General features: G+C 42.6%; 1 protein-coding gene, 1 long non-coding RNA gene and 1 pseudogene across 3 annotated transcripts in view, besides 4 other annotated features; 2 read left to right on the forward strand and 1 right to left on the reverse strand.

Annotated features, from left to right (window-relative positions):
- LOC107985204 (uncharacterized) overlaps nt 1-26,975 on the reverse strand; it is a 48,174-nt gene that overhangs the window by 8,160 nt on the left and 13,039 nt on the right. The window contains exons 2-3 of one of the 2 annotated variants that reach the window (XR_001738231.2): nt 20,675-20,764; nt 13,748-14,061 (exon numbers count right to left, since the gene is read on the reverse strand). This is a non-coding gene — a long non-coding RNA (uncharacterized LOC107985204). Of the gene's footprint in view, nt 1-673; nt 14,062-20,674; nt 20,765-26,975 lie in introns of those variants that run through there. The other variant, XR_007066618.1, reaches the window with a different exon arrangement.
- Nucleotides 809-26,965, forward strand: CTXND2 (cortexin domain containing 2). The gene is made up of 2 exons (NM_001384189.2): nt 809-986; nt 25,915-26,965. Exon 2 carries the CDS (start codon nt 25,988-25,990, stop codon nt 26,153-26,155), a length of 168 nt encoding a protein of 55 aa, NP_001371118.1. The 5' UTR covers nt 809-986; nt 25,915-25,987; the 3' UTR covers nt 26,156-26,965.
- Nucleotides 5,238-5,382: an enhancer, noted in NCBI's record as "145 bp 1:150864113 sequence used in MPRA reporter constructs". NCBI's record gives its function as "activates a minimal TATA-containing promoter with rs12096831 allelic activity by MPRAs in C283T melanocytes {active_cell/tissue: C283T}" and the evidence as "EXISTENCE:reporter gene assay evidence [ECO:0000049][PMID:36423637]".
- Nucleotide 5,310: a transcriptional cis regulatory region, noted in NCBI's record as "rs12096831 or 1:150864113 MPRA-significant variant associated with a GWAS melanoma risk locus at 1q21.3". NCBI's record gives its function as "allelic transcriptional activity by MPRAs in C283T melanocytes {active_cell/tissue: C283T}" and the evidence as "EXISTENCE:reporter gene assay evidence [ECO:0000049][PMID:36423637]".
- Nucleotides 6,117-6,261: an enhancer, noted in NCBI's record as "145 bp 1:150864992 sequence used in MPRA reporter constructs". NCBI's record gives its function as "activates a minimal TATA-containing promoter with rs4970980 allelic activity by MPRAs in C283T melanocytes {active_cell/tissue: C283T}" and the evidence as "EXISTENCE:reporter gene assay evidence [ECO:0000049][PMID:36423637]".
- Nucleotide 6,189: a transcriptional cis regulatory region, noted in NCBI's record as "rs4970980 or 1:150864992 MPRA-significant variant associated with a GWAS melanoma risk locus at 1q21.3". NCBI's record gives its function as "allelic transcriptional activity by MPRAs in C283T melanocytes {active_cell/tissue: C283T}" and the evidence as "EXISTENCE:reporter gene assay evidence [ECO:0000049][PMID:36423637]".
- On the forward strand, nt 17,501-18,086 carry CYCSP51 (CYCS pseudogene 51; annotated as a pseudogene).

Raw genomic sequence — 26,975 nt, forward strand, 5'->3', positions numbered from 1 at the left:
GGTGCATGCCTGTAGTCCCGGCTACTGGGGAGGCTGAGGCAGGAGGATCACTTGAGCCCAGGAGTTTGAGGCTGTAGTGCACTGTGATTCACCTATGAATAGCCACTGCACTCCAGCCTGGGCAACATAGACCCCATCTCTTAAATACACACACACACACACACACACACACACACACACACACAGGCCAACACCCCCAAAATTTCTTATTCATTAGGACCAGGATAAGGGTCCAAGAGTTTGCATTTCTAGCAAGTCCCTGGGAGATGCTGTAATTCAGAGACCTGTTGCATAGACCAAAAAGTTGGCTACCAATCCATCCTCTACCACTCATGTGATCCTACTTAGAAGTTTTTACCTGAGGCGGGGCGTAGTGGCTCACGCCTGTAATCCCAGCACTTTGGGAGGCTGAGAGGGGTGGAACACAAGGTCAGGAGTTTGAGACCAGCCTGGCCAATATGGTGAAACCCCATCTCTACTAAAAATACAAAAATTAGCTGGGCATGGTGGCATGCACCTGTAGTCCCAGCTACTTGGAGGCTGAGGCAGAAGATCTCTTGAACCCGGGAGGCAGAGGTTGCAGTGAGCCAAGATTGCACCACTGCACTCCAGCCTGGGCAACAGAGCGAGACACCATCTCAAAAAAAAAAAAAGAAAAGAAAGAAATTTTTACCTGAGCTTTTAATGGTGGCTGTCCTGGCCCTGGCAGAGTTGTGGAAATATTCCTCCACTGATCTAGGCTCCAATTTAATCTAGTGGGATCATTTTCTCAGTATGGGAGTGTCTGAAACTTGATCCTGTTTCAATTGAACTATTCATGAAGCTTCTGAGTTCAGCGTGGGAGTGGGGAAGGGAGAGAGCTACCAACCACTCTCCTTTTGTGGGAAGAGGTTGATAAAAACAGAGGCTGCCAAGAGATGTACTTGAGTAGGAGGAGACTGCCCTGGCAACAAGTGAATGTAGCCTTGGATATCCGCTCTCAGAAGGTAGGTAACTACCCACATTGCCTTCCTGGTGGAGTTTTCACTGGGAGAAATTCCAAGAATTCTTCTGAGTTTAATAGCACCTTGCTATGAACTTGGGAAATCGTGGGGAAATGACTGAAGGAAGTAAAGAGCTTTATTATTATTATTATTATTATTATTTTTAGAGGCAGGATCTTGCTATGTTGCCCAGACTGAACTCAAACTCCTGGTCTCAAGCAACCCGTCTGTCTCAGCCCAAGACCTTTTTCGTTAGAGCTTTTTACGAAAAGTTAAACTTTCATCTGAGAAGGGATGTCTTGAGCATAGTCTCTTTTTGAGGAAAGTTGGGGGGACCTCTGATTAGTCCTATTAGCCAGAGAGTGTCTTTGATTTTAAGGATTATAGTAAAAAAAAGCTGCATTATTGTGTTTCTTCACCATCATCTCTCTCTTTGCACTAAACTTATGGCCAGGAGAGAAAAACTGGGTCTTTTTAGTATTTTGGTCTTCTTCAAGAATGGCAGGTCATTGCAGGTGGGAAGAATGAAGTGATCTGGAAAAGGAACACAGAGAAAGGAAAAGGTAATGGATCTTTCTGGAACTGAAAGTGGAATTGATGTTGCCAAGGATTTGTAAATGCCATTATTCTGATTCTTACTTTAGTAGGTCCAAATTTAACATAAACCAATAGCTTCACACCACACCTCCTTTCTCCTACTATAATCCCAAGAAGTGCTGCTACTCATCTCAAACAAAACAAGAACCTTAAAAGCCACTTAAAAAAAATTCTAAGACAGGTATTCCCTTTGGAAAACAGATTTTAGCTCTACCATTTTTGAAAGTGTATTTCTCAAGAAAAGCTATTTTGCATAAGAATTAAATTTGTTGTGACTTTTCCCCCCATTTTGAAAACATTTTACCTAATTTATTTTTTTTTTTTTTGAGACAGTCTCACTCTGCCGCCTAGGCTGGAGTGCAGTGGCGCGATCTTGGCTCAATACAACCTCTGCCTCCCAGGTTCAAGCAATTCTCCTGCCTCAGCCTCCCGAGTAGCTGGGACTACAGGCGTGCACCACCATGCCTGGCTAATTTTTTGTACTTTTTAGTAGAGACAGGGTTTCACCATGTTGGCCAGGCTGGTCTCGAACTCCTGACCGAAGGTGATCCCCCGCGACCTCGGCCTCCCAAAGTGTTGGGATTACAGGGGTGAGCCACTGCACCTGGCCCTAATTTTGTATTTTAAATCTTTTATTCTTTCCTTAAAGAGAGACCCCCATGTTGTATAAATTTTAGGCCATACAAAATCTGGATCACTGCATATGAAAATGAGTAAAAAATATACATGGCATACTTAGAAACAAAACAGCATTTTCCTTTCTAATAAGAATGTATTTTATTATTTATTTATTTATTTATTTAGACAGGGGCTTGCTTTGTCACCCAGGCTGGAGTGCAGTGGTGCGATCATGGCTTACTGCATCCTTGACCTCCTGGGCTCAATCGATCCTCTCACATCAGCCTCCTGAGTAGCTGGGAGGGACTATAGGTGCGTGCCACCACGCCAGGCTAATTTGATTTTGTTTTTGTTTTTTTGTAGAGATGGGGTCTTGCTATGTTGCCCAGACTGGTCTCGAATTCCTGGGCTCAAGCAATCCACCCGCCTCAGCCTCTCAAAGGGCTGGGATTATAGGAATGAATCACCGTGCCTAGCCGATCTCACTCTACTTCTGAATTCCAGTCCCACATTTTAGCCTCCTGAGCATATTGTATCAGTGCATTTAAATTCAGCCTACCTCAGACTGATTTCATCCTAGTACCTTAAAATATCTGCCACTCCTCTGGGTGCAGTGGCTCACGCCTGTAATCCCAGCACTCTGGGAAGCCGAAGCGGGCGGATCACGAGGTCAGGAGATCGAGACCATCCTGGCTAACAGGATGAGACCCCGTCTCTACAAAAACTTAGCCGGGCGTGGCAGCGGGCACCTGTAGTCCCAGCTACTCGGGAGGCTGAGGCAGGAGAATGGCGTGAACCCGGGAGACAGAGCTTGCAGTGAGCCGAGATCGCACCACTGCACTCCAGCCTGGGCGACACAGCAAGACTCTGTCTCAAAAAAAAAAAAAAAAGCAACTCCTAAAATAAATAATTCTATGAATGGCATCATTTTTCTTTCAGCTTTCCAAATTTAAGCCCAGGAGTTTTCTTTATCACTTCCTTCTTCTTCCCACTACATGTCCACTTAATTTCCAGGTCGTCACAAATTCTCTTTCACAATCTCACATCCATTCTTTCCTTTCTGTTACTCACTGTGTTATCCTAGCCCTTGTTTCCCCTTGTTGAGACTGCTAAAACTCCTCTTGTTGTTTTCACCCTATAGTGTGTGTTAGCTCCAATACTTTTTACGCACTCTTGCCAGTTATCTTCCTGAAGTATGGCTTTGATCATTTACCTGCCTGAATTCAACAAGTATGAACTGTTGTATGCACTATGTGCCAGACACCGATAGAGATTCATATTAATTCATTCATGTAGACGTATTAAATACATAAAATATGCCAGCCCTCCCCAGGCACTGAATCCATGCTATGAATGGGACAGACACCTAGAGCTTACATTCTAGTTAGAATCAATGGGATACACAGTAAGATATGGCCCCTGCTCCCAAAATGTTTATCTGCTCAAAACCTTCCATTGCTTCCCGATACCTGAAAGAACAAAATTCAAAGTCCTTGCCCTGACTTTCAAGGTTCAGTATGGTCCTGTCTTAAGCAACAGAAGTATAGTATCTAGATGAATAATCTTGAGTTTGCATGCATCTTGTATTCTGTATTGGGCACCACATTTTAAAAGGAATATAGACACACTAGAAAATCTTCAGTAGAAAAAGGGTAGAGTGGTAGACCACATCCTCTGAGAAACCAATCAAACGTACTTAATAGCTATTTTTAAATTACTGAAACTCTTGTGTATGGAAAAGATATGTGTTGCCTTAAACAGTCCTAAGTAAAAAGTGAAGCTGTACTAAGAAGACAGATTTGGCTCAAGGTAAAAAATTACTGCCTTCCAGAACCTTCTGAAATAGATAGACAGCCAGGAGACAGTCAGTGCCCAGCCCCTGTCACACAAGGAGCTCAAGCAGGGGCTTTACAGGAATGATTAGAAGGTGGTACAAGATGACCTTTAAAGTTTCCTTCCAATGTGAGATTTTATTTATTTATTTATTTATTTATTGAGATGGAATTTTGCTCTTGTTGCACAGGCTGGAGTGCAACGGTACGTTCTTGTCTCACTGCAACCTCTGCCTCCCGGGTTCAAGCGATTATCCTGCCTCAGCCTCCCAAGTGGCTGACATTACAGGCATGTGCCACCACGCCTGGCTAATTTTGTATTTTTAGTAGAGACGGGGTTTCTCCATGTTGGTTAGACTGGTCTTGAACTCCCAACCTCAGGTGATCCACCCGCCTCGGCACCCCAAAGTGCTGGGATTACAGACGAGAGCCACCGCGCCTGGCCCAATGTGAAATTTTATACCCTTCACTTTCATGCATTGTGAGTTCTGCAATATTAAATTAAGCATCATTTTCCAGAAAGCTTCAATGCTTCCTGTCTCCATCACTATTCCTTTATTTGGAGTGCTCTTTTCTTGTTCCAAATAGAGCTCAGCCATCACCTCTACAAAGACTTCTATAACTAATACCACTCCCAGCTGAGTTTATTAATCGATGAAGGTTGTACTGTTCATACCCTACACCCAAGAGAAGCAGCATGTTCCTTCTGACATTGGAGTTTCCACATTGACAAACATTTCCTACAGGAAATGGACGTTTGCCCTGTAGAAACTCATATTGATAGAAGAATATCAGGTTAATTCTTGCCTCATGTACGCTACACATTCCTGCCTATCTGATATTTCTTTTCTTTCTTTTTTTTTTTCTTTTTTTGTGAGACGGAGTCTCGCTCTGTCGCCCAGGCTGGAGTGCAGTGGCAGATCTCAGCTCACTACAACCTCCGCCTCTTGGGTTCACACCATTCTCCTGCCTCAGCCTCCCGAGTAGCTAGGACTACAGGCACCCGCCACCATGCCTGGCTAATTTTTCATATTTTTAGTAGAGACAGGGTTTCACTGTGTTAGCCAGGATGGTCTCCATCTCCTGACCTCGTGATCTGCCTGCCTCGGCCTCCCAAAGTGCTGGGATTACAGGCGTGAGCCACTGCACCCGGCCTTATCTGATATTTCTAACACAAACATCTAATGATGTAATTTTCATGTTTACAAGCTTTCCAATGGCTCCCCACTGATTACAAAGCTGAGTCCTGAGTGTTTAATCTGCAACACAAGGTCCCTTGTGAGCTGCCTTTGCTACCAATCCTATCTATTCAGTAAAATATATCTCAAAGTCTTACTGAACAATTGCTGTTTCTCAAACATACTATATTGTCCTCCCTTAAACCTTCATATCTTTACCTGGAATATCTTCTTTCCTTCTCCCCTTTCCCACTTTTAGCTGCCAGATAAACTCATTCTTAGCCCTCAATTCAATTCATGTGTTGGCCTCTTCAGTAAAATCTCCCTTGATTCTTCCCTTTGGGCTTCTTTCCCACTTTACCCAGCAAATTGCTTTGGAATTATTTGCTTTCAGGAAGTACAGATTTTTTTATTTTTCTCTTTAACTTTATAAGATTCAGACAGTTTACTTAGTATAAAATTATACTAGAAATTTGTGATAAGGAGAATAAATGAAAGGAAATCAAAGAAAGATGGAAGTCTCTTGAAATGCACTAATTGAGAGAAGGTGGAAAATTAATAAAATATTCAGGCTGAATAAGTCTAGTGAGATCTGCAAGTGCCAGGGTAAAACAAGATGTCCTTTTTGAGGAATGTAATGATGAATAATGAGAAAATATGTGCCTGAAGTCATAAAGATATGTCATATTTTCTTCTAAAGGTTTTCAAGTTTTCCTTTTACATATAACTAAATGCAATTTTTAAAATAAATATCCTATTTTCCAGTATCTTATTGAATAGTTCATGCTTTTCCTGTGACCAACAATACCCACTGTGTTATAATTCAAGTTTCTGTAAATGTGTGATTTGCCTCTGGGCTCTCTAGGGGTATCTATGCCCACATACCTACCCCGTTGTCATAAACCCTATAGCTTTATAATAAACCTTGATTGCTGATAAGGAAAATCTCTCTACCCTATTCTTTTTCTTCAGAATGTCTTATTCTTCTTCTTCTTTTTTTTTTTTTTTTTTTTATTGAGACAGGGCCTCGCTTTATCATCCAGCCTGGATTGCAGTGGTATGAAATGAACTCGGCTCACTGCAGCCTGAACCTCCCTGGCTTAAGAGATCCTCCCACCGCAGCCTCCCAAGTAGCTGGGACTACAGGTGCCCACCACCAGGCCCAGCTAATTTTTGTAGTTTTTGTAGAGATGGGGTTTTACCATGTTGCTCAGGCTGGTCTTGAACTCCTGACCTCAGGAGATCTGTCAGCCTCAACCTCCCAAAGTGCTAGGACTACGGGCATGAGCCACCATGCCTGGCTTCTATCTTCTCTATCCTTGAGCCTTTGAGTTCCTTCATACGTTTAAGAAAATTGATTTGTCAGTTTTCTCAAAAAATCCTGATGGGATTTTGGTGGAGTTGCATTGTATCCATAGATCAATCTGGGAAGAACTAACTACTATGCTGAATCCACAAACATAGTATATCCCTTCATTTACTTAAGTGTTCTTTAACGACTATCAGTAAAGTTTGGTAATTGTTTCCAAACTGGTCCTAGTCAACTTTTGTTAAACTTATTTTTAAATATCTTACGTATTTTTAATGCCATTGTAAATGATGCTTTTTTAAAAATTACATTTTCTTGTGTGTTGCTGGTATTTAGAAATATAATTGACTTATGTATCTTATCCAGCCACCTTGCTAAGCTCTAATTATCTCACATTTTTCTTTAGACTCATCTGCGGGCAATGACGTCTGTGAATAGTAAACTTTTGTTTTCTTCTTTTTCAATCCATTTTTTTTCATCTTATCTTACTGCACTGGCTAGGACTTCCAGAATTATGTTACATAAAAGTTAATATAGTGAACATTTTTGTCTGGTTCCTGATTTTAAAAGGAAAATCTTTCAACTGTTGCCCATTAAGTAGTAGGTTTGCTATAGTTTTTTTTGTTGTTGTTTGGACAGGCTGTCACTCTGTCACCCAGGCTGGAAGACAGTGATGCTATCATGGTTCACTATGGCCTTGATCTCCGGGCTTCAAGTGATCATCCCACTTCAGCCTCCTGAGTAGCTGGAAGTACAGACATGCACCATCTTGCCTGGCTAATTTTTAAATTTTTTTAGAGAGACGGGTCTCACTATGTTGCCCCGGCTGGTCTCAAACTCCTAGCCTCAAGCAATCCTGCTGCCTCAGCCTCCCAAAATGCTGGGATTACAGGTATGAGCCACCATACCCAGCCTATACATTTTTTATGGATACCCCCACTTATGCCTAGTGTTCCATTATTGGAACCCTAAGCATGTGGGGGTTATTTATGTCCTACTGCTCAAGGTCATCACCAAGGTCTGATTGCAAAAATTCAAAAAATTGCACCCTCAGGCATAAATGGGTTAAAGGAGCTCCTTTCTATCCCTATTTTGCTAAGAATATTAACATAGGTGTTTTATATTAGTATCTTTTTTTTCTTTTTTTTTAACCAGAGATGGGGGCGTCTCACTATGTTGCTCAGGCTGGTCTCGAACTCCTGGACTCAGGCAATCCTCCTGTCTTGGCTAGTATTAAGTTTTATCAAATGCTTTTTCTGTAATCATTGAGGTAATTTTTTCATTTAATCTATATATTAAATGTCACTTACAGGTTTTCTCATGTAAACTACCCTTGCATTTCTGGGAAAAACTCAGCTTGGTATTTGTGTCAATCAGGATTTATTTGCAGGGAATAGAAACTTTCTAGTTATTTAAAACAGAAGTAGGATTCTTAGTTACACATGACCGAAAAGCCCAACTCAAATGGGATTAAAGACTACAATGGAAAAATATGAATTTGCTAATTATAGGGCACAAGATTTTATAGATGTTCAATAAATCAAGCTTGTTAATTGTATTATTCAAATATTCTATATCTTCACTGATTTTTGCCTAGTCAACCTATTAATACTTGAGAAGAATGTGTGTTCTATCTACCATAATGGTGGTTTATATCTATTTCTCTCTAGAGTTCTATTGCTTTCTTATTTAAGACTGTTTTATTAGATGCATATAATGTATTTATTTATTTATTTTATTTAGCGGGTACAAGTGCAGATTTCTCACATGCATATATCAATGTGGTAAAGTCTGGACTTTCAGTGTACCCATGTAGGTACATATAATTTAGAATTGTTATATCTTCCTACTGAATTGAACCCTTGATCATTATTTATTAATCCTCTCTATCCTTAATAATGCTTTTTGTGGCCAGGCACAGTGGTTCATGCCTGTAATCCCAGCATTTTGGGAGACTGAGGCGGGTGGATCACCTGAGGTCAGGAGTTTGAGACCAGCCTGGCCAACATGGTGAAACCCCACCTCTACTAAAAATAAAAAATTAGCCGGATGTGGTGGCGCGTGCCTGTAGTCTCAGCTACTCAGGAGGCTGACACAGGAGAATTGCTTGAACCAGGAGGAGGTTGTAGTGAGCCGAGATCGCACCACTGCACCCCAGCCTGGGTGACACAGTGAGACTCCGTCCCCCTCAAAAAAACATATATATATACATATATATATATATGATGCTTTTTGTATTTAGTTCTATTTTGTCTGATATTAATATAGCTATAAAATTTTATAGATATAAAATTTTATTTTGGCTAGTCTTTACCAAATATGCCTTTTTCTATCCCTTTTATTTTCAGCCTTTCCATGTCTTTAAATTTTAGGTGAATTTTTAAAAAATAGACTATAGCTAGATTGGGGCCAAGACCAAAGAATGGATGTTTGTCATTTTTTGTCTGCCCAACATCCAACTACCCTTCCTGTTTGGGGAAATCTTTTTTTTCTTTTTTTTTCTTTTTTTAATTTTGTGTGACGAAGTCTCTTTCTGTTGCCCAGGCTGCAGTGCAGAGACGCGATCTCAGCTCACTGCAACCTCCACCTCTCAGGTTCAAGTGATCTTCCTACCTCAGCATCCCAATTATCTGGAATTATAGGTGCGCACCACTACGCCCAGCTAATTTTTGTATTTTCAGTAGAGATGGGCTTTCACTATGTTGACTAGGCTGGTCTTGAACTCCTGACCTCAAGTGATCCACCTGCCTCGACCTCCCAAAGTGTTGGGATGATTACAGGCGTGAGCCACTGCACCCGGCCATGAAGAAGTCTTTCTTCACATGAATCTGTCAGAAACAATTCCCACTGCGGAGGCCTAGAGAAATCAAATATTCCCTCTTCCACCCTCTGGCAGCCAAGGTGTTAGTGCATGACTCAGCCTTGACCAGTCAGATGCTCTAGCCAGAGACTAGACTATTGAGTGACACAAAGATGACACAATTTATAATTCAGCCATGCCAGAGGCAGCAGTATCCAATGACAGTAGCAGCAGTGCTCGGCAACAGCAGTGTCTGGTGGTGGCAATGTCTAATGCCAGCATTGCCCTAACCAGACTTTTCCTGTGCTCTCCCTGGCTATGGTTCCTGATGGCTGGCTTCTCTTGATTTCTGTCTGTTTATAAGACTAGTTCTCTTTCTGAGAGCTATCTGACCTCTTTACAATAAATATATTTTCTGTTTAACGGAGAATCCGTTCCTGTTGCTTGCAAACAAGAATGTGTTCTTTTTTCCTCTGGAAAGGAGCAGGAGAGATGATAGGTAGGGGGAATATGTGAGGTTTGAATTTGCTGGAGCCATTCTTGATACCGTAAGGGAAGCCAAACTGGGGATTAAATCAACATAGAAGAAAGGCAGGGTTAAGAAAAGCCATAGACACATAAAGGCAGAACCCTGATACTTTGAATCACTGGATTCAGCCATAGCTAAAGGTAGTCTCACTCTGGACTTTTTGGCCATATGAGTCAATAAATTCCATTTTATTTTTAAGTCTCATGTGAGTGGGCTTTTCTGTCACTCGCAACCAAAAGCATCCTACCTGATACCTTTCTGTTCTGCCTGTGAAAAGGAATCCCTCACTTAATTCTGCAAATAGGCTTTCAGCTGCTATTCTACTTCTCTTCTTTCTTTCCTAGTTGAACTTCTCATAAATGATTTAAAATCTTAGTGTCTTTATTTCCTCACTGTCCTTTGCTGCTTTATCCACTAAAACCTGGATTCCTTCTTTACTACTATAACACTATTTCCTTTTAGATCACCAGTAGTCTTCTCCTGTCTTAATTCAGTGCCAACACCATATCTCAAAGTCATTCATTCATTCAACAAAGTTTTACATACCCACTTTAGAAACATATAGGGCTACATTCATTCACTGAACAAATATTTATTGAACATCTAATATATCCCAGACTTTTAGGATAAACAAATTCTATATGATCCCTACTCTCATAAAGGATTACAATTTTATCAGCCAGTACAGACTAAAGTAATATAATAAATTATAGTGAATATTACTGAAAGATCTCCCTAGAAAATTTATATTTAAGCAAAGCCTAGAAGTTGAATATAGAGGGAAGAGAATAACACAAAGAGAATGTTAAAGGAAAAGGCTTGAAAGCAAAGGGGAAGAGAGGGGCAGGCAAAATTCATGGAACTGTGAGAAGCCCACTATTGCCAGGTTAGAAAGTACAAGGGACAGAGAGGTAAGAAATAAGGTTAGAATAAATTGTCAAGAGCCTTGGAGCCCCATTAAGACAGTGGGAAGCTGAAAACAGATTTTGATCAGATGACTGATCAATTTGCATTTATTAAAGATCACTTTGTAGTTTGGAGGGGAATAAGAGTGTTTTCAGGAAATCAGAGTGTATTTACAGGAGGCTGGCATTTGATGGCCTGGAGTACAGAGGTGGCTGGAAAGAAACAGAGAAGAAAATTTATGTGAGAAATATTTTGGAAATAGGCCCAAAAGGGGTCTCACTGTCGCCCAGGCTGGAGTGCAGTGGCACAATATTGGCTCACTGCAATCTCTACTTCCCAGGCTCAAGTGATTCTCCAGCATCAGCCTCCCAAGTAGCTGGGTCTTTAGGCATAAGCCACCACACCGGCTAACTTTTGTATGGTTTGTAGAAATGGGGTTTCTCCATGTTGCCTAGGCTGGTCTCAAACTCCAAGCTCAAGCGATCCACCTGCCTCAGCCTCCCAAGTGCTGGGATTACAGGCATGAGCCACCACAGGCCAGCCTCCAAAAGGATATTAATAGATACAGGGAGTGAGAAATCACTGCAATTTTGAATGCAAAAATGCATATGACCTTGTTCTGAAAGAGCACTATAGAAAGGACAAGATACATAAACAATGTGATATATCTATAAATAATATATATATACACCCAAAGGGTGGTACAGATATTTACCAATATTTCCATACTTTTTAGCCATTGGGAGGAACTCTGGACCACTTTTCTCTCATCCTAGGTCTTAGGACAACTTCCTTGCAATTCTCTGGCAAGGTACAACTCTGTACCATAATGACCACAACTCATGATATTGTTTCACAGAGCAGTTTAGCTCTGCATCATCCCAATTAACTCTTTACCAAACAAGATTTTAGCTTTGCTTGTGTGTAACCAAAACACCCATTAAACCACTTTTCAAAACAAATCTATTGGCTTTTTTCTATTTAAGAGACATGGTCTTGCTTTGTTGCCCAGGCTAGCCTCAAACTCCTGGGCTCAAGCAATCCTCCCAAGAAGCTAGCACTATAGATGTGGGGTTTTTTTTTTTGTCTTTCTAGGATGATGTTCAGGGCACTTTCTCTCATGATGTGCTTTTTATAGGTTTCTCAGAAATTCCCCCATTAAGGTTATTTATCTGCAGATGCCTCAGAGTCAATCTCCTTCTTCCCATTGGACTTTACAATGCTGAGTCTAATATATTTACCTCTAGCCACATTCTGTTAAAGTAACTTCATCCTAAGTTGAATTCCACCTAAGAGGAAGCCCTCTTGGGTGGAATCTTCTTTTATATGACCTCAGACTGGACCCTATCTGTGGAGTCCATATCTGGCCCTCAAGATTTAAAAAATCCCCCTTACTGGCCGGGCGTGGTGGCTCAAGCTTGTAATCCCAGCACGTTGGGAGGTCAAGGCGGGCGGATCACAAGGTCAAGAGATGGAGACCATCCTGGCCAACATGGCAAAACCCTGTCTCTACTAAAAATACAAAAATTAGCTGGGCGTGGTGGTGCCCGCCTGTAGTCCCAGCTACTCAGGAAACTGAGGCAGAAGAATTGCTCGAACCCAGGAGGCAGAGGTTGCAGTGAGCTGAGATCGTGCCACTGCACTTCAGCCTGGCCACAGAGCAAGATTCTGACTCAAAAAAAAAAAAAAAAGAAAGAAAGAAAGGCAGGGCGGGGGGCCCGGGCACGGTGGCTCACGCCTGCAATCCCAACACTCTGGGAAGCCCAGGCGGGCGGATCACGAGGTCAGGAGACCGAGACCATCCTGGGTAACACAGTGAAACCCTGTCTCTACTAAAAATACAAAAAAAAAAATATATATATATATATATTAGCTGGGCGTGGTGGCAGGCGCCTGTTGTCCCAGCTACTTGGGGGGCTGAGGCAGGAGAATGGCATGAACCCGGGAGGGGGAGCTTGCAGTGAGCTGAGATCACGCCACTGCACTCCAGCCTGGGCGACAGAGCAAGACTCCGTCTCAAATAAATAAATAAATAAATAAATAAATAAATAAACAAACAAACAATAATAAACTCAAAAAGTCCAAGCATGGTGGCTCACGCCTGTAATCCCAGTGCCTTGGGAGGGCTAGGTGAGAGGATCACTTGAGGCCAGAACTTCAGCCTGGGTAACATAGCAAGACCCCCATCTCTACAAATTTTTTTTAAAAATTTTAGCCAGGCATATTATGCCTATAGTCCTAGCTACTTGGGAAGCTGAAGCAAGAGGATCACTTGTGCCCAGGAGTTCAAGGCTGCAGTGAGGCATAATTGCACCACTACACTCCAGCCTGGGTAACACAGTGAGACTCTATCTGTATTTTTAAAAATTTAAAAATTTAAAAATTCCAAATAGATCAGGGATCTAAATGGAAAAGAATGAAACCATACAAATAGTAAAAAAAGAACATGGGTGCATTCTATAGACTGAATGTGGAGAAAATTTTTCTAATAATGACTCAAAATTCAGAGGTAATAAAAGACAAAAATAAATTTCATTATGTTAAATAAAAATTTTTTGCATGACAAAAATATGCACCACAAACAAAAACAAAACATGGCCTGATGCAGTGGCTCATGCCTGTAATCCCAACACTTTGGGAGGCCAAGGTGGGCAGATTACTTGAGGTCAGGAGTTGAGACCAGCCTGACCTACATGATGAAACCTGTCTCTACTAAAAATACAAAACACCAGCCAGGTGTGATAGTGAGACATGAAGCTATCTGGACTTCCTGGGTGGAGTGGGGACTTGGAGAACTTTTCTGTCTAGCTAAAGGATTGTAAACACACCAATCAGCGCTCTCTGTCTAGCTAAAGATCTGTAAACGCACCAATCAGCACTCTGTAAAAACGGACCAATCAGCACTCTGTAAAATGGACCAATCAGTGCTCTGTAAAATGGACCAATCAGCAGGACACGGGCAGGGCCAAATAAGGGAATAAAAGCTGGCCGCCTGAGCCAGCAGCAGCAACCCGTTCGGGTCCCTTTCCACCGTGTGGAGGCTGTATTCTTTTGCTCTTCTCAATAAATCTTCCTGCTGCTCAGTCTTTGGGTCTGCACTACCTTTATGAGTTGTAATACTCACCGTGAAGGTCTGTAGCTTCACTCCTGAAGTCAGTGAGACCACGAACCCACCGAGAGGAACGAACAACTCCGGACTGCCACCTTTAAGAGCTGTAACACTCACTGCGAAGGTCTGCGGCTTCACTCCTAAAGTCAAGCAAGACCACAAACCCACTGGAAGGAAGAAAGTCCAGACGCATCTGAACACTGGAAGGAACAAACGTTGGACACACCATCTTTAAGAACTGTAACACTCACCGTGAGGGTCTGCAGCTTCAGTCTTGAAGTCAGTGAGACCAAGAACTCACTGGAAGGAACCAATTCTCGACACAATGGTAGGCACCTGTAATCCCAGCTATTTGGGAAACAGGCTGGAGAATCACTTGAACCCGGGAGGTGGAGGTTACAGTCAGCTGAGATTGCTCCACTGCATTCCAGCCTGGGCCACAGAGCAAGACTTTCTCAAAAAACAAACCAAAAAAAAACCCTGACGAATAGTGAGAAAATATTTGCAATATATATTATATATGAAGGGGTAATATCCCTAGTGTATAAACAATATTTAAAAATCGAGGGGAGAAGGAGACCACACATTCAATAGAAAAAGAGACAAAATACATGAACAGACCATTTACATAAAATATATAACTGTTAAAAAAACAATTCGAGACTGGGCATGGTGGCTCACGCCTGTAATCCAAAGTGGGAGGATCACTTAAGTCCAGGAGTTCGAGACCAGCTTGGGCAAAATGGTGAGATCTTGTCTCTACATAAAAATAAATTAGCTGCACATGGTGGCATGCACCTGTAGTCCCAGTTCCTTGGGAGGCTGAGGCAGGAGGATCCCTTGAGCCCAGGAGGTTGAGGCTGCAGTGAGCCACGATCATGCCACTGCACTCCAGCCTGGGTGACAGAGTGAGACCCTGTCTCAGAAAAACACAAACAGAAAGAATGAAAACAATCCCACTTAAGATAACAAAAGAATAAAATAGGAATACATTTAAGAAAAGCAATGCAAAATGTATTCTTTGGAAGCTACAAAACATTGTTGAAAGAAATTGAAAAGACTTAAGCAAATGGAAAGATACACCATGTTCACGGATCAGAAGACTTAACATTGTTAAGATGCCAGTACTCTCTAAATTGCTCTATAGATAGAAGACACACAATCTGTATCAGAATCCCATCTGATTTGTTTATAAAAACTGACAAGCCGATTCTGAAATTCATGTGGAAACTCAGGGACTCTGAATAACCAAACACTCTTGAAAATGAAGAAAGGTGGGGTGCTCACATGTTATGATTTCAAAACACTACAAAGCTACAGTAATCAAGACAGTATGATATTGGTGTAAGGTTAGATATACAGATAAACAGAATAGAATTGAGAGTCTAGAAATGTATCTGTGACCAAGCAATTTTCAACCAGGGTGTCAAGAACATTCAATGGGGCTGGGAGCAGTGGCTCATGCCTGTAATCCCCAGCACTTTGGGAGGCCGAGGCGGGCAGATCATGAGGTCAGGAGATCAAGACCATCCTGGCTAACACAGTGAAACCGTGTGTCTACTTAAAATACAAAAAAAAAATTAGCTGGGCATGGTGGCGGGCACCTGTAGTCCCAGCTACTTGGGAGGCTGAGGCAGGAGAATGGCGTGAACCTGGGAGGTGGAGCTTGCAGTGAGCCAAGATTGTGCTACTGCACTCCAGCACTCCAGCCTGGGCGACAGAGTGAGATTCCATCTAAAAAAAAAAAAATAAATTCAATGGGGAAATAATAGTCTTTTTAATAAATAATGCTAGAGGCTGAGCACAGTGGCTCACTCCTGTAATCCCAGGACTTTGGGAGGCCGAGGCAGGCGGATTACCTGAGATCAGGAGTTCAAGATTAGCCTGGCCAACATGGTGAAACTCCGTCTCTACTAAAAATACAAAAATTTGGCTGGGCGCCGTGGCTCACGCCTGTAATCCCAGCACTTTGGGGGGCAGAGGCGGGCAGATCACAAGGTCAGGATATTGAGACCATCCTGGATAACACAGTGAAACCCCGTCTCTACTAAAAATATTTTTAAAAAACATTAGCCAGGCGTGGTGGTGGGTGCCTGTAGTCCCAGCTACTCGGGAGGCTGAAGCAGGAGAATGGCATGAACCCGGGAGGCGGAGCTTGCAGTGAGCTGAGATTGGGCCACTGCACTCAAGCCTGGGCAACAGAGAGAGACTGCCTCAAAAAAAAAAAAAAATTGCTGGGCATGGTGGCACACGCCTGTAATCTCAGCTACTTGGGAGGCTAAGGCAGGAGAATTGCTTGAGCCCAGGAGACAGAGGTTGCAGTAAACCAAGATCGTGCCACTGCATTCCAGCCTGGCCGACGGAAATGAATGAGATTCATCACCTATAGGAGGTAGGTAGGAATGGGTGGCAAGGATGAGATGTGGGTGAAATGGAATGGAAAGAATGGTCGGGGAGGGGTGATACTTCTTTGAGTGTAATTTTTGTATAGTTCTGGTAACTATGTTACTATTTCACATACTCAAAAAATAAATGCAATAATAGTAGGGGAAAAAACTCTTAAAGTGGAATATAAACAAGACAAAATGACAAAAAAGCAGACCACTATGTCCCATAAACTGCAGGGAACATATATCAAGCTTGAAGGGAAAGTAGTCACCTTTGGTATTTTCCCTCTGTACACCTTTCTCCTACAGAGTACAGAGGGAAAATACCAACATTCCAGCAACTTTCCCCAAGAAAACCTATTGCCTCTTTACTCTCAACCCTTTTTATCCCCTCAAGGTGAATACTGAACTAAATATTTCAAAAATTGTCTAGCTACTTGCTCTGCAATGCCTGGTTATCAGATCCCTCTTTGGAACATAGGGCTCCTGCTATCTATTGTTTTATTTTGGCCTAAATTTATAGCACAGCTGTAATTGAAACAGAAATAGTCTCCTTTTAATAACCTGATGCGTCTGTTCTGCCAATCCCTATGTTTTGTTTTGAAAATCTGATCATTCTGTAACAACAACATATTTTATTAAAAATCACCCTTCTGTTAAGTGATGGGGCTTTTTCTTCTCTTTTTATTGAGGGGTGGGGGTTGCGTATATAATTTTATTATAAGTACTTTTGTGCATGATTTGTCCCTCCCGCTTCCCACCCCTGCAGTCCTCTTAAGAGAGGCCAACAGCCTTTCCCTGCCTTGGATTCTGAAGTGTTCCTGTCTGTCTTAACCTAGCCCTGGCCAGACGTTCTCTTTGATTTTTAACTTTTTTTTAATTAAAAGATACCAGTATGAGATGAAAAAATAAAATAAAATTAAAAATAAAAATCACCCTTCTGGCCAGACATGGTGGCTCACGCCTGTAATCCCAGCACTTTGGGAGGCTGAGGCAGGTGGATCAGGAGGTCAGGAGTTCAAGACCAGCCTGGCCAACATAGTGACACCCCGTCGCTACTAAAAATACAAAAAATTTGCTGGAATGGTGGTGGGCGCCTGTAATCCCAGCTGCTCGGGAGGCTGAGGCAGGAGAATCGCTTGAACCTGGGAGGCAGAGGTTGCAGTGAGCAGAGATTGCGCCATTTTTGCCCTCCAGCCTGAGCGACAGTGTGAAACTCCGTCTCAAAAAAAAAAAAAAATTGCCTTTATGGAGAGAGTGGGATGTCCGGCTTCAGAGTGGTAACCTACGTTGCACCAGTGATGAAAAAGAGAATTAAATATGGGTGATGTTGAGAAAGGCAAGAAGATTTTTGTTCAGAAGTGTGCCCAGTGTCACACCGTGGAAAAGGGAGGCAAGCACAAGACTGGGCCTAATCTCCATGGTCTCTTCAGTCAGAAGACAGGTCAGGCTGTTGGATTCTCTTACACAGATGCCAATAAGAACAAAGGCATCATCTGGGGAGAGGATACGCTGATGGAGTATTTGGAAAATCCCAAGAAGTACATCCCTGGAACAAAAATGATCTTTGCCGGCATTAAAAAGAAGGCAGAAAAGGCCGACTTGACAGCTTATCTCAAAAAAGCTACTAATGAGTAATAATTGGCCACTGCCTTATTTATTACAAAACAAATGTCTCATGAATTTTTCATGTGTACCATACTTTAACAGAGCTTATACACCAGAATTCAGATCATGAATGACTGACAGAATATTTTGTCGGACAGTCCTGATTTAAAACTAAGACTGGCTTGTGGTTAAATGAATATGTTCAGTTTTTGAATTTTAATAGTAATTCCAATTCAGTAAATGCTATCACTGTTTACCCCTTCTAAAGATATGATTAGACTTTGTTAGTAATGTTAAACTTTTCACAAAGATGGTGAGTACCATCTTCAAACTTACTGGAGATTGGTTTTATATTTAGATTTATATAACTGGTTATGTGAATATATTTGAATACTGGAGAAATTCCTTCACTGTCTCAGAACCAAGCAAGATTCACCTGTGTTTTGTGTCCATAAAGGCAAGGGTTGAAGATAAATAAGGTAGTAATGTCTACTTTATATTTTTGGCCTTAACTATGCCAATCTAATTAGAATTCCCTGTATTTAAAATGGTTCCTTTTACTTATTGAAAGACATTTTAGTGTGTTTTATGTGTAATATCAAAGATTATTTAGCATTTCTCACATTTTATAAATGATCTATAAGGTCACATGCTTTTAAAATAGTAGCAAGTTAAACTTCACTCTTGAATGCTTGTCAAACTAAGTTATAATTTAGGATAGTCTTTAAACAGCCATTCAGAAACATAAAACTGTAGAACTGCTATGTATTTGTGATTGGGAATGATGCTTTTGCCAACTTAAAAGGATTAAAGTAGAGGAGATACACACAAATTTTAAAATTATGTGTGATCATAAGACAAGATAATCAAAAAGAAAACCACACACACACACACACACACACACACACACACACACACACAAATCACCCTTCATAAGGAACTTGCAGAATCTGCCAATTCTTTTTTTTTTTTTTTTTTTAGGCCGAGTTTCATTCTGTTACCCAGGCTGGAGTGCAAGGGTGTAATTTTGGCTCACTGCAACTTCTACCTCCCGGATTCAAGTCATTCTCCTGCATCAGCCTCCCAAGTAGCTGGGACTACAGGCACACACCACCATGCCCAGCTAGTTTTTGTATTTTTAGTAGAGATGAGGTTTCACCATGTTGGCCAGGCTGGTCTCGGACTCCTGACCTCAGGTGATCCCCCCCAACCTCGGCCTCCCAAAGTGCTGGGATTATAGGCATGAGCCGTGGCACCCGGCCTTATCTGCCCATTCCATCTGCACATCTGGGAGGAGTCCAGGGGGTGGCATGAAAACCCAGTGTAAAAGATATGAGTGCAACTTACCCTGTTGCCCCAGAATTGTGGTCAAGTCTTATTGAAGGCACAATACTACTTATAATCTAAAGAAAGCTGCAACAATTAGAGCCAGAACCTCTTCCAAATCTCATGAGAAGATGGCGTAGTCAATCGTATATCCACCAACTCCCACCCCTTGTCCCACCACAGTATATATAAAGAATAAGGCCGGGCGCAGTGGCTCACGCCTGTAATCCCAGCACTTTGGGAGGCCGAGACGGGCAGATCACGAGGTCAGGATATCGAGACCATCCTGGCTAACACGGTGAAACCCCATCTTTACTAAAAATACAAAAAATTAGCCGGGTGTGGTGGCAGGCACCTGTAGTCCCAGCTGCTCGGGAGGCTGAGGCAGGAGAATGGCGTGAACCCGGGAGGCGGAGCTTGCAGTGAGCTGAGATCACACCACTGCACTCCAGGCTGGGCGACAGAGCGAGACTCCATCTCAAAAAAAAAAGAAGGATGAACTGGGGCCGGGTGTGGTGGCTCATGCCTATAATCCCAGCACTTTGGGAAGCTGAGGTGGGCAGAGGGTTGCTTGAGCCCAGGAGTTTGAAACCAGCCTGGGCATCATAGTAAGGCCTCGTCTCTACAAAAAATTTAAAAATCAGCCAAGTATGGTGGTGGGCACCTGTAGTCACAGCTATCCAGGAGGCTGAGGCAGGAGGATCACTTGAGCCCAGGAGGTTGAGGCTGCATTGAGCTATGACCATGCCACTGCACTCCAGCCTGGGTGACAGAGTGAGACCCTACCTCAAAAACAACAACAACAACAACAAAAAGAATGAACTGGGAGGGCAACTGGGAATTCTCATTATCGGCATTATGGGATGTACAAAATTTGTGATGAGAAGCAAAGATAAAAGTACTTCCCCTTCCTCCCAAAGCCAAAGATGAGGGCATGCCAAGAGAGACATTGGTACAATTGGTGACACCAGCAAGGAGAGACTAACAGCATTTCATTCCCTAGATAGATGCTTTAAACTGTAGAACCTGCCAAACCACTCTGGTCAGGTTGGAGTAAAGCATGGTGTGAGTTTTTAACCTGTGCAAACATAAAAAATCATGTCAATTTCTTGGCTACAGAGATCTGAAAGTGGAAGGCCCACTGGAATAATCTGTGCTGGCAGGGTTTATAGGTACCTTGGCAGAGTATGCCTAGGAAGAAAATGTGGCCAATCCCCCCAACCCATCACAGTCTGGCCACTCCCCTTGAAGGACTTCAGGTGTCTCCGAAGGAGCAGGAGCAGTGGGAGGTGCCAGGAGACCACTGTACCAAGCCATGTGATATCCAACGTGAGTTTAGGTTGGGAGAATAGAGGATAAGCAGCACCATTTGAAGGGGTCTTCAATGACAGAAAAGTCCAGAATGAAGAGAAACGCTACTCAAAAAACTACAAACATCCTTCACTCTGAAACCACCAGATCTAACCAGAGTAAGACCAGGTCACCTACTCACAGTTGGCCACAGCTGATTCATTAAATAGAGAAACACTTCACATTTTCCCCTTCCTTTCTTCCTGATCCTGTACAATGCAGAAGAAGAAGCCTGAAAAGGGAGAAGAGCTAATAGAACTCTAAATCCTCTATAAGATTAGGAATTTAAAACTGAACTAAGGTTTTACAAAAACCAGCTTTATTAAGATATAATTCACATACAATTCAACCATTTCAAATGTACAATTGAATGGTTTTTAGCACATTCACAGAAATGTTTTACCATTACCACAGTTGTAGAACATTTTTATCACCTCCAAAAGAAAACCTGTATCATTTAACTTTCACCCCCTCATCCCCCACCTCCAGCTCTAAGCAACCACTAATCTGTCTCTATAGATTTCTCTATTCTAGACTTACATGTGAATGGAATTATATAATATGCTGGGGGCGTTTGTGACTTGTTTCTTTCACTCAGCTTAATGCTTTAAGTTTCATCCAAGTAGTATGTACTTCCTTTTTATGGCCAATAATAGTCTATTGTGTAGACATACCACACTTTGCTTATCCATTTATAAGTTGATGGACATTTGAGTTGTTTCTACCTTTTGGCTATGATGAATAATGCTGCTACAAACATTCTTGTATAAGTTTTTGTGTGGTCACATGTTTTCATTTCTCCTGGGGACAGCCATAGGAGTGGAATTGCTGCGTCATATGGTGGCTTTTTTTTTTTTTTTTTTTTTTTGAGACGGAGTCTCGCACTCTCACCCAGGCTGGAGTGCAGTGGCGCAATCTTGGCTCACCGCAAGCTCCGCCTCCCAGGTTCACGCCATTCTCCTGCCTCAGCCTCCCGAGTAGCTGGGACTACAGGCACCTGCCACCACGCCCGGCTAATTTTTTGTATTTTTAGTAGAGATGGGGTTTCACCGTGTTAGCCAGGATGGTCTTGATCTCCTAACCTTGTGATCCACCCGCCTTGGCCTCCCAAAGTGCTGGGATTACAGGCGTGAGCCACCGTGCCCAGCCAGCTTTTTTTTTTTTTTTTAGACAGTGTCTCACTCTGTCACTCAGGCTGGAGTATGGTGGCATGATCAAAGCTCACTGCAGCCTCCCAGGCTCAGGTGATCCTCCCGCCTCTGCCCCCCAAGTAGCTGGGATTACAGGTGTGCGCCATCACATCTAACTAATTTTTGTATTTTCTGTAGAGAGGAAGGTTTGCCATGTTGCCCAGGCTGGTCTTGAACTCCTGGACTAAAGTGATCCTCCACCCACCTTGGCTGCCCAAAGTGCTGGGATTATAGGCGTGAGCCACCATACCTGGCCAGTAACTCTTATGTTTCATAATTTTAGGAACTTCCAGACTGTTTTCCAAAGTAACTTTGCCACTTTACATTCCCACCAACCGTCAATGAGGGTTTCAATTACTTTCTACCTTTGTCAACACTTAATCTGACTTGATTCTAGTCATCCTAGTGGGTGTGAAGTGGTATCTCAAAGTTTTGATTTCCATTTCCCTGATGACTAATTACGTTGACCATTTAAAAAATGTGTTTATTGGCCATTTGCATATCTTCCTTATGCAGAAAAAGAAATTTCTATTCATATCCTTTGCCTAATTTTTAATTGAGTTGTCTTTTCATTGTTTCGTTGTAACTTTGGTTATCAGGTCTCTCTCCGTCACCCAGGCTGGAGTACAGTGGTGCGATCATAGCTCACTATAACCCTGAACTCCTGGGCTCAAAGGATCCTTCTGCCTCAGCCTCTCCAGTAGCTAGGACCACACACATATGCCACACACCTAGCTAATTAAAAAAAAAAAAATTAAGAAACAAGGTATCTCCTTACTACCCAGGCTGGTCTCAAACTCCTGACCTCAAGTGATCCTCCCACCTCATCCTCCCAAAGTGCTGGTCAGGCATAAGCCACCGTGCCCAGCCCATTTTCTTGATAATAAGCTTCTTAAAGTACAAAAGTTGGCTGGGCGCAGTGGGTCACGCCTGTAATCCCAGCACTTTGGGAGGCCAAGGGGGGCAGATCACCTGAGGTCAGGAGTTTGAGCCCAGCCTGGCCAACATGGTGAAACCCGACTCTACTAAAAATACAAAACGTAGCCGGGCATGGTGGGGGCGCCTATAATCCCAGCTACTCGGGAGGGTGAGGCAGGAGAATCGCTTGAACCTGGGAGGCAGAGGTTGCAGTGAGCCGAGATCACGCCATTGCCCTCCAGCCTGGGCGACAGAGCAAGACTCCTTCTCAAAAAAAAAAAAAAAAAAAGTACAAAAGTGTTGACCAGGCACAGTAGCTCATACAATCCTAACACTTTGGGAGGCTAAGGAGGGCAGATCTCTTGAGCCCAGGAGTTTGAGACCAGCCTGGGCAACATGGTGAAACTCCATCTCTACCAAAACAAACAAACAAAAAACAATTAGCCGGGCATGATGACGTGCACCTGTAGTCCCAGCTACTTGGAAGGTTGAGATGGGAGGATCAATTTAGCCTGGGAGGTCGAGGCTGCAGTGACCCCAGACGGCACCATAGCACTCCAGCCTGGGTGACAAAGTGAGACCCTGTCTCAAAGAAAAAAGTTTTAAATTTTGATGAAGTCCAGTTTCTCTCTTTTTTGTTGCTCGTGATTTTGCTGTCATATCTAAGAATCCTTACATTTAGGTCTTTGATCCATTTTAAGTTTATCTTTGTATGTGGTGTGAAATTGTTACCAAAACACCAGGAGTTCGGTCTAGGTCCTGCTGCTCACCACACAGAAAGATGAGCAATACCTGCCCCTGAGATGACAGGTATTGCCAAAGAAGAAGGCTTTACTCAGGTGCTGCAGCAGAGGAAACCGGAACTCAGTCACAAATCCATCTCCCTGACCAACTAAAATTAGAGGTTTATATAGCAAGGAAGAAATGTAACAATGTGTAGGAAAACAGGAACTCAGGAGGCCAAGAAAGCACTTGTGACCAATGAGGGGTCTTGCACTTCATTGTCAGGATGGGATGATCTGGTTGAGTTTCAGTTCCTTGATACTTTTTTTGAGAGGCCTGGTGGCCCTTTCCTGAAGAAGGAACTCAACATAAAACAAATGTAAGTTTTAAGCTTTAAGACCAGAAGGTCAATTTCTTTTTCTTTTTTCTGTTTTTTTTTTTTCTTTTTTTTTTTTTTTGAGACGGGTCTCCATCTGTCACCCAGGCTGGAGTGCAGTGGCATGATCTCAGCTCACTGCAACCTCTGCCTCCCAGGTTCAAGCAATTTTCCTGCCTCAGTCTCCTGAGTAGCTGGGATTACAGGTGTGTGCTACCACACCCAGCTAATTTTTATATTTTTAGTAGACATGGGGTTTCGCCATGTTGGCCAGGCTGGTCTCAAACTCCTGACCTCAGGTGATCCGCCCTCCTCGGCCTCCCAAAATGCTGGTATTATAGGCGTGAGCCACCACGCCCAGCAAGAAGGGTCAATTTCTGTTGAAACAAAAAAAACTATGGGACTATTGGGTTCATTTCAAAATAAGGGTCTAACTTAATTCTTTTGCATGTGGCTATCCAGTTGTCCCAGCACCATTTGTTTTCTTTCCTCACCGAATTTTCTTGGTACCCTAGTTTAAAATTACTTGGTCATAGATACATGGGTTTATTTCTGGACTCTCAATTTTTTTTTTTTTTTTTTTGAGACAGAGTCTCACTCTGTCGCCCAGGCTCGAGTGCAGTAGCATGCTCTCGGCTCACTGCAACCTTTGCCTCCTGGTTTCAAGTGATTCTCCTGCCTCAGCCTCCCAAGTAGCTGGGGCTACAGGCATGCATCACCATGCCTGGCTAATTTTTGTATTTTTTTTTATTTTTTGAGACAGAGTCTCGCTCTGTCACCCAGGCTGGAGTGCAGTGGCGTGATCTCGGCTCACCGCAAGCTCTGCCACCTGGGTTCATACCATTCTCCTGCCTCAGCCTCCGGAGTAGCTGGTACTACAGGTGCCCACCACCACGCCCAGCTAATTTTTTGTATTTTTAGTAGAGACGGGGTTTTACCGTGTTAGCCAGGATGGTCTCGATCTCCTGACCTCATAATCCGCCTGCCTCGGCCTCCCAAAGTGCTGGGCTTACAGGCATGAGCCATCGTGCCTGGCCATAATTTTTGTATTTTTTTTTTTTGGTCGAGACAGGGTTTCATTATGTTGGCCAGGCTGGTGTTGAACTCCTGACCTCAAGTGATCCGCCTGCCTCGGCCTCCCAAAGTGCTGGGATTACAGGCGTGAGCCACCGTGCCTGGCCCTGGACTCTCAATTCTATTCCATTGATTTGTATGTCTGTCTTTGTACCAGTACCATAGTTTTGATTACTGTAGCTTTTAGTGAGTTTTTGAAATTGGGAAGTATGAGTCCTCTTACTTTGTTTTTCTTTTTCAGAATTTTCTTGATGGAGTAAGGTTTTGGGTTTTTTTTTCCTGTTTTCCTTATGTAAATTTATTTTTTTTTTTTGAGGTGGGGTCTCGCTCTGTTGCGCAGGCTGGAGTGCAATGACTCGGTCTCGGCTTACTGCAAACTCCGCTTCCTGAGTTCAAGCAATTCTGCCTCAGCCTCCCAAGTAGTTGGGATTACAGGTGCCCGCCATCACACCTGGCTAATTTTTGTATTTTTAGTAGAGACGGGGTTTCACCATGTTGTCCAGGCTGTTCTCGAACTCCTGACTTCTGGTGATCTACCTGCCTTGTCCTCACAAAGTGCTGGGATTACAGGCGTGAGCCACCATGCCCGGCCTGTAAGTTTTAATAATTGAAATTGATCACTTCTGGGATATACCTGATTTTTCATGAAGATGTAAGAATGACAGCACAATTAAATGTAGTGATCAGAAAAAATAAAACAATTTCATGTTCATAGCCAGTGAGTTATACAACAACTAGGTACAATAAGTACTCTTGGAATTTGAAGTAATCTTAGAGGAGGATTTTGACTTAACACAGAATTCAGATGTTTAAGACAGTTTTACCTGGATCTTAGGGGACAAGGCAGGCCCAACTGATTCCTAGGTTATATACATTTGCTCACGTTCTGCCTTGGAGTAATTCTTCGGATATTTTATACTTGTGTGTATGTGTGTATCTTGTCAGTCATCTATATTAACTTTATCAGTTTTGTAACTGCTTCTTAAGTAAATCTTACTGATATTTTTTCAACCCTTGGTCCCTTTTTGGTTTTTCACAGTGTTATTAAGAAAACACATACACACACAAACCGATAAGCCTGTTTTATCCTCCTTTGTCTAGGAATATGACAAATCTGAAGCTATACCTGAGGAATTAGCTGGAGCTGGACAACAGTAACGAGGTGCAAGTCCCCATGGAAGATTCAAGCCTGTCCAGTGGTGTTGATGTGGACAAAGGCTTTGCCATTGCCTTTGTTGTTCTTCTGTTTCTGTTCCTAATAGTGATGATTTTTCGGTGTGCCAAGCTGGTGAAGAATCCCTACAAGGCCAGCTCCACAACCACAGAACCATCTCTGAGCTGAAGTATAATAAAACCTGGTAGACTCCCCCAAGCAAGAGATTTGAAATCTGTTATACACACTTTATATTATTTCACCTCCCTGTTTCTCAGCCTTCTCACTCTTGCATTCCACAGTGAGATGAAACACAAGCCAGTTTGTATTGTTCCTGTTCAGGGAAATGGCTACTAAAGTGAGATAAAGGTTGAATTTATTGGCTAGAATAAGGCCATAGATTTTAATTCTTCAGTGCCTAAGGTCCTTAGGATGAGACAGTGGGCCATAATTTTATGATGTAATGTAACATAATGTCATCATGCTTGGTAAGGTCCACCTGAAACTAGAAGCTCACCTAGAGGTGGCAGACTTGAATGATCCCTTTAGTTATGCAAATGTAGGCTCAGCAGAAACCAAATGTCCTATAAGAAGAGTGTAACCAGATTGTTTTAGTGTGTGAAGTTTTATAAAATCTGCTGTTCTTAAGTGGGCAGAACTCTCTGGTAGAAGGGGACTAATTTGCTGTGGGTGAATTCCTTAATCTCTCTCATCCCAAATTTCCTCATCTATAAAATAATATGTAGAGGTTTCAGTGAGGGCCCCAGAAAAGATATATCCGTGTCCTAACCCCTGGAATGTGAGCTTATTTGGAAAAATGGTCTTTGCAAATATAATTAAGAATCTCAAGATAAATTCATCCTGAATTATCTAGGTGAGACTTAAATCCAATGACTCCCCTAGAGATTCTGGTACCCCAGTATGGTCTTACTAACACCTTGATTTTGGACTTCCGGCCTTCACAACTGTGAGGAAATAAATTTCTGTTGTTTTAAGGCACGTGGTGTGG

Source organism: Homo sapiens, chromosome 1 (genome assembly GCF_000001405.40).
Source record: "Homo sapiens chromosome 1, GRCh38.p14 Primary Assembly".
Taxonomy (NCBI): Eukaryota; Metazoa; Chordata; class Mammalia; order Primates; family Hominidae; genus Homo; species Homo sapiens.